This window comes from Homo sapiens, chromosome 9, assembly GCF_000001405.40.
Source record: "Homo sapiens chromosome 9, GRCh38.p14 Primary Assembly".
NCBI lineage: Eukaryota > Metazoa > Chordata > Mammalia > Primates > Hominidae > Homo > Homo sapiens.
The window spans coordinates 1,062,926-1,071,120 of NC_000009.12; positions in this window are offsets into that span (position 1 = coordinate 1,062,926).

Consider the following 8,195-nt stretch of genomic DNA (forward strand, 5'->3'; position numbering starts at 1 on the left):
TTGTGATGTCTAAATACATCTAGGGCATGCTGGACAACTGCACACCTATAAATAGGTTGGCATTTGCTATAATGGTAAATGTGAAATAACAACATATGTTTAGAGCCTGGCAATTTACAGAGCACATTGACATTTATCATTTTTTATATTCCTCACATAAATTCTATAGAAATTTGGTAAATGGCCATATGAAGAGATGAATCTATATGTCTGTGGATATGTTTACAAATTTGGGAATTCTTTCCAATATACAACATGACTTGAAATTGCATAATACAGCCCTAAACCTTTGTATATAAATTTTAAGTGCATCTAATGCTGATATGTAATATATATTATACATTACATAAGTATAATTTTACTTGTATGATTACATCTATCTCTATTACATTTGCACATTCATTCTACCTTCAGTAAGTTATACACATGCACACACCAGTCTCATGGGGTTGTGAGACCAAGTGAGATGAGAAAAGGGAAAGAGAAACACTAAGGCCACATTTTCTCTGGGTTGCTTCCTGCACATGACTGAGTGGAGCAGGGTTGCTGGAGAGGAGCCATTTTTGCCCTGTCATGGGATTCCTCTATCAGGCATCTTTAGTGGGGGAACTCTTCATTCAAGTGTATTGTTATAGATGTTTGATGAGCTCCAAAACCAGCACCTCTGCTCCATGCCTGGAGTTCTGAGCCAATCAAGAAATAAGAGAAAGGAGTTGGCACTTGGAGGTTAGAATCTTCTTAACTACCTTTAAAACTGATTATGATTACACTGGAGAATATGACTTATATCCAGGAGCTAGGGGACTTCATAACACTAAACTCCAGGATGATACAGACTACCTACCTAGAAACAGTCAACAGTGGCCCAGCACACCTCCCCTGCATGTGGGTAGTGATTGAGTGTCTGTATTCTCTGCGTTCAAGTTAGCTCTTGAAGGGAAGGCAAGAAGAACGGGAGGAGCTACCCAGGCTCCCTTTCCTATCCCAAACTCATCAATCAGGTAAGGTATTCTCCCTGCGTCTTTTCATTAACATAATTTTGCTATTATTTTCTTTGTTTTGAATTGAGATCAATCCAAAGACCATATACGCTTGGATTTGATGACTGCAATCAAAGTTTAAGTCCTTGATAAAGATATAAGCTGGAAGGCAGGAAATGGTGTTATTACTTCATATGTGCTTACTAGACTAAAGACTATATACATTTTTGTTTTAGAATAAAAAATAAAACTGGAGAAATAACTTCCTTTACCCCAGATGGAACTGAGACATTTGGTATAGCACGCTGGCAAGCAGTGAAGAATTGTTTTTCTGATGAGTATATCATTTGATGTCATTAAGTAGCATGGCCTAAGGGGAGTGTTCTGCTGCTATCCATCACCACCAAATTATTTTCATGGAATGTCATCATAAAAAGTTATCAAAAGAAGTTACCTGAGATGTTGTGAAGCTGTGAAGCCAAACTAATATTATTTCCTCTTTCGAATAATGTTACTATAGAGGTATTAGGGGAAGGCCACATACAAGTTATGTCTCAATTTGTCAAGGAATTCAAGAAAGCCTTTCGTGACAGGGAATTTTAGGATGGATAACAGTGAAGTCAGGGGAATTTGTAGCTGCTTGAACAGCTATCTTCACAAGACAGAGTAATAAATCAAAGTCGATTTCAAGGAAAGTCTTTAGTCTCATGGCCATTGAGACCTCTTGTTTTGGGTGATATTCTGGCTGGCAAATGAAGACATAAAAAGTGTACTTATCAAATCTATACATGACATTAAGTTGGGAGGTCTGGCCACTGTTGTTGATAGTAGAGTTGGGTGAGACTAGGACTATAACTCAAAGTCAAATCTAATATTTGGATTTTAAAAGTAACTGTCACCCAATTATGAAACTTTATGTTGAGGGAGAGTTAACTTGATGTTAGTTTATGTGAAAATGATCTGGCAGTCATAGAAGACCACAGAGCTTAAAAAGAACCATAATGAATCATGGCTGTAAGAAATTGCTAATACTAACCTGGATTCCATTAACAGAGACTCCAGATGAAGAGAAATGCTAATTACAGTGCATTTCCTCCCCTTTCTCCTGACAGATCAAATCTAGTAACTTGTGCCCAGCTCTGAGCACTGCATTTTTAGTGTAGACATTGATAGACTTGGCCACGAGGATGGTGAAAGGACTGACAATTTTGCCTACCTATAGACAGTTAAGGGCCTTGGGGATGTGGCCTGGAAAATAGATATCTTAAGGGAAAGGATTTGATTTGTGTTTTTATATATTTGAAATATTGTCATTTTGGAGAGGGAATTAAGGTCCCTTGGTAGTCTCTAGAAGAAACAGTGCTAAGAGGATGCTAGAGGGGATCAAATATAGCACAAAAAAAGGGAGATCATCTTTCAGTTTGGCTTGTTCATACTTGGCCTGGTCGGCCTTGTGAAAGAATGCATTTAGAGATCTTCATGTGAAACAAAGAAACAAACCTTGCAATGGGTATGAGAATGAATTAGCAAGCAGAGACTGCTTCATTTATCTTCATCTGCTAGGTCCTAGCATACAGTTGGTGTCAAGAGATTTTTGCTGAATGAGGAGAATCTTCGTCAACTCCGGTAATTCTTGATTTTATGAAAAATTACCACTGAAAAGGATCAGATGAAGTTTTTTTCCTCCTAGCCAAATTCTCTAGAAAATCATATCACCAACTAGTTCTTCGGAATTTTAACTTTTACTTAAATACTTTTACCTATTTAAGGTGTACAGCATGAATTTTTTTTTTTTTTAGATGAAGTTTTGCTCTTGTTGTCCAGGCTGGAGTGCAATGGCACAATCTTGGCTCACTGCAACCTCTGCCTCCCAGGTTCAAGCGATTCTCCTGCCTCAGCCTCCCTAGTAGCTGGGATTTTAGGCATGTGCAACCATGCCCGGCTAATTTTTTATTTTTAGTAGAGACGGGGTTTCTCCATGTTGGTCAGGCTGGTCTTGAACTCCCAACTTCAGGTGATCTGCCCGCCTCAGCTTCCCAAAGTGCTGGGATTATAGGCATGAGCCACCGCACCCAGCTAGCATAATTTTTTTTTTTTTTAATAGACAGGGTCTCATTCAGTTGCCCAGGCTGGAGTGCAGTGGCGTGATGATAGCTCACTGTAACCTCCAACTCCTGGGCTCAAGAGTAGCTACAACTACAGGTGCGCAGCACCGCATCCAGCTATTTTTTTTATTTGTATTTGTATTTTATTTTATTTTTTTAAAAATTATAGTTTAAGTCCTGGGATACATGTGCAGAATGTGCAGGTTTGTTACATAGGTATATATGTGCCATGGTGGTTTGCTGCACCCATCAACCCATCATCTACATTAGGTATTTCTCCTAATGCTATCTCTCCCCTACCCTCCACTCCCCGATAGGTCCTGGTGTATTATGTTCCCCTCCCTGTATCCATGTGTTCTTATTGTTCAACTCCCACTTATGAGTGAGAACATGCATTGTTTGCTTTTCCATTCCTGTATTAGTTTGCTGAGAATGATGGTTTCCAGCTTCATCCATGTCACTGCAAAAAACATGAATTCATCCTTTTTTATGGCTGCATAGTATTCCATGGTGTATATGTGCCACATTTTCTTTATCCAGTCTATCATTGATGGGCATTTGGGTTGGTTCCAAGTCTTTGCTATTGTGAATAGTGCTGCAATAAACATATGTGTGCATGTGTCTTTATAGTAGAATGATTTATAATCCTTTGGGTATATACCCAGTAATGGGATTGTTGGGTCAAATGGTATTTCTGGTTCTAGATCCTTGAGGAATCATCACAGTGTCTTCCACAATAGTCGAACTGATTTACACTCCCACCAACAGTGTAAAAGCATTCCTATGTCTCCACATCCTCTCCAGCATCTGTTGCTTCCTGACTTTTTAATGATCGCCATTCTAACTGGCATGAGATGGTATCTCATTGTGGTTTTGATTTGCATTTCTCTAATGGCCAGTGATGATGAGCTTTTTTTCATATGTTTGTTGGCTGCATAAATATCTTCTTTTGAGAAGTGTCTGTTCCTATCCTACACCCACTTTTTGATGGGGTTGTTTTTTTCTTGTAAATTTGTTTAAGTTCCTTGTACATTCTGGATATTATCCATTTGTCAGATGGATAGATAGCAAAAATTTTCTCCCATTCTGTAGGTTGCCTGTTCACGCTGATGATAGTTTCTTTTGCTGTGCAGAAGCTCTTTAGTTTAATGAGATCACATTTTTCAATTTTGGCTTTTGTTGCCCTTGCTTTTGGTGTTTTAGTAATGAAGTCTTTGCCCACGCCTGTATCCTGAATGGTATTACCTAGATTTTCTTCTAGTGTTTTTATGGTTTTACATCTAACATTTAAGTCTTTAATCCATCTTGAGTTAATTTTTGTATAAGGTGTAAGGAAGGGGTCCAGTTTCAGTTTTCTGCTTATGGCTAGCCAGTTTTGCCATCACCATTTATTAAAAAGGGATTTTTTTTCCCCATTGCTTGTTTTTGTCAGGTTTGTCAAAGATCAGATGGTTGTAGATGTGTGGTATTATTTCTGAGGCCTCTGTACTGTTCCATTGGTCTGTATATCTGTTTTGGTATCAGTACCATGCTGTTTTGGTTACTGTAGCCTTGTAGTGTAGTTTGAAGTCAGGTAATGTGATGCCTCCAGCTTTGTTCTCTTTGCTTAGGATTGTCTTGGCTATACAGGCTCCTTTTTGGTTCCATATGAAATTTATAGTAGTTTTTTTCTAATTCTGTGAAGAAAGTCAATGGTACCTTGATGGGAATAGCATTGAATCTATAAATTACTTTGGGCAGTATGACCATTTTCACAATATTGATTCTTCCTATCCATGAGGATGGAATGTTTTTCCATTTGTTTGTGTCCTCTCTGATTTCCTTGAGCAGTGGTTTGTAGTTCTCCTTGAAGAGGTCCTTCACATCCCTTGTAAGTTGGATTCCTACATATTTTACTCTCTTTGTAGCAACTGAGAATGGGAGTTCACTCATGATTTGGCTCTCTGTCTATTATTGGTGTATAGGAATGCTTGTGATTTTCGCACATAGATTTTGTATCCTGAGACTTTGCTGAAGTTGCTTATCAGCTTAAGGAGATTTTGGGTTGAGATGATAGGATTTTCTAAATATACAAACATGCCATCTGCAAACAGAGACAATTTGACTTTCTCTCTTCTTATTTGAATATCTTTCATTTCTTTCTCTTGCCTAATTGCCCTTACCAGAACTTTCAATACTAAGTTGAATAGGAGTGGTGAGAGAGGGCATCCTTGTCTTGTGCTGGTTTTCAAAGGGAGTGCGTGCAGCTTTTGCCCATGCAGTATGACATTGGCTGTGGGTTTGTCATAAATAGCTCTTATTATTTTGAGATATGTTCCAACAATACCTAGTTTATTGAGAGTTCTTAGCATGAAGCGTTGTTGAATTTGATTAAAGGCCTTTTCTGCATCTATTGAGATAATCATGTGGTTTTTGTCATTGGTTCTGTTTATGTGATGGATTACATTTATTGGTTTGCGTATGTTGAACCAGCCGGCATCCCAGGGATGAAGCTGAGTTGATTGTGGTGGATAAGCTTTTCGATGTGCCGCTGGATTTGGTTTGCCAGTATTTTATTGAGGATTTTTGCATCAATGTTGATCAGGGATATTGGCCTGAAATTTTCTTTTTTTGTTGTGTCTCTGCCAGATTTTGGTATCAGGATGATGCTGGCCTCATAAAATGAGTTAAGGAGGAGTCCCTCTTTTTCTATTGTTTGGAATAGTTTCAGAAGGAATGGTACCAGCTCTTCTTTGTACCTCTGGTAGAATTCGGCTGTAAATCCATCTGGTCCTGGGCTTTTTTTGGTTGGTAGGTTATTAATTACTGCCTCAATTTCAGGACTTGGACTTGTTATTAGTCTATTGAGGGATTCAACTTCTTCTTGTTTTAGTCTTGGGAAGGTGTATCTGTCCAGGAATTGATCAATTTCTTCTAGATTTTCTAGTTTATTTGGGTAGAGGTGTTTATAATATTCTCTGATGGTAGATTGCATTTCTGTGGGATCAGTGGTGATATTCCCTTTATCATTTTTTATTGTCTATTTGATTCTTCTCTCTTTTCTTCTTCTTCTTCTTCTGTTTTTTTTTTTTTTTTCTGAGACTGATCCTCTCTCTATTGCCAAGCTGGCATGTAGTGGCGTGATCTCAGCACACTGCAACCTCCGCCTCCTGGGTCCAAGCGATTCTCCTGCCTCAGCCTCCTGAGTAGCTGGGACTAGAGGCGCACACCATCACGCCCAGCTAATTTTTGTATTTGTAGTAGAGGCAGGGTTTCAGCATATTGGCAAGGATGGTCTCGATCTCTTGACCTCATGATCCACCTGCCTCGGCTCCCCAAAGTGCTGGGATTACAGGCATGAGCCACCTCACCTGGCGTCTCTTTTCTTTTTATCAGTCTGGCTAGCTGTCTGTCTATTTTGTGAATCTTTTCAAAAAACCAGCTCCTGAGTTCATTGATTTTTTTTGAAGAGTTTTCGTGTCTCTATCTCCTTCAGTTCTGCTCTGATCTTAGTTATTTCTTGTCTTCTGCTAGCTTTTGAATGCCCAGCTATTTTTAAAATTTTTTGTAGAGACAGGGTTTTGCTATGTTGCCCAAGGGGGCCTTAAACTCCTGCCCTGAAGTTATCCTCCTGCCTTGGCGTCCTAAAGTGCTGGGATTACGGGTGCTGAAATTATATCACCTGGTCCTCTTACAGCTTTTGACTCACCCAAAACTTAACTACTGATAGCCTATTGATGACTGGAAACTTTACCAATAACATAAACAGTCGATTAACAAATATTCTATATGTCATATGTATTATATACTGTATTTTTACAATAAAATAAGCCAGAGAAAAGAAAATGTTATTAAGCAAATCACAAGGAAGAGAAAATGTATTTACTATTCGTTAGGTGGGAGTGGACTATCATAAAGGTCTTCATCCTAGTTACCTTCACATTGAGTAGGCTTAGGAGGAAGGAGGAGGAAGAGGAGGGATTGGTCTGGCTGTCTTTGAGGGTGGCAGAGATGAAAGAAAATCCTCGAACCTTAGCAGTTTAAACCCATGTTGTTCAAGGGTCAATTGTAAAATTAAACGTACATATTAATTCTTGGGATTTATTGTCTATATCAGCAGTCCCAACCCTTTTTGGCACCAGGAACCGGTTTCATGGAAGATAATATTTCCATGGACAGGTCGAGAGTGGACAGGAATTTGGGATGAAACTGTTCCACCTCAGATCATCAGGCATTAGATTCTCATTAGGAACATGCAACCTAGATCCCTTGCACGTGCACTTCACAATAGGGTTCAGGCTCCTATGAGAATCTTGTGCCACTCCTGATGTGACCGGAGGTGAAACTAAGGCAGTAATGTTTGTTTGCCTGCTGCTCACCTCCTGCTGTGCGGCCCACAGACTGGTACTGGTCCATAGCCTGGGGGTTGGGGACCCCTGGTCTATATGATGATAAACAGTAAATCCTGAAAATGCCTTCTCTGTTTTAGCCATCTTAATAGCTAGTCAATTTTGATTTAAAATAATATTTCTTATGGCTAAAAAACCCAAAATAGATTTAATTGAGATTATTAATTTAGATAAAGTCTGATTCTATTCAAATGTAGTGAAGTTGAACTTCAGTTCTACTTGAAGTTGTTAGGCAAATCTGTAAATCTGATTCTTTAGATTTGAATTACTGTTTTTATTTAATTCAACAAGCATGTATTAGGCACTAACTGTGAGCTGAGCAATGGTGACCTCTGAGAGGTAGCGACAATTAAGATATGGTCTTCAAACATTTATCATCTGGAAGGCTACTGTAGATTACATTCATCATTTTTCTCTCCATGTACTTTGTGAATGCAGACAGCCCTTCTGCCTCCCAGCTTTCTTAGTCTCCGGCTTGGAGACAGTCCACAGTTATTTCCTGTCATTCTGGGCATGGATTGTTTGGATGCGACTCTGTTGTCTTTTACTCTTCCTCTCTCCATGTTTCACTGTGATCAGAGCTTTTGAAATGAAATTTGTAGATTCAGGAGTTTCCTGTAGGAAAGTAGTGGGTTTAGTCTCAGTTTCCCCAGTTTGCTATAAAACTCAAGGTTGGTAACAGTGGCCATGAAATCAACAAAGGACAGTTATTCCTTAACACA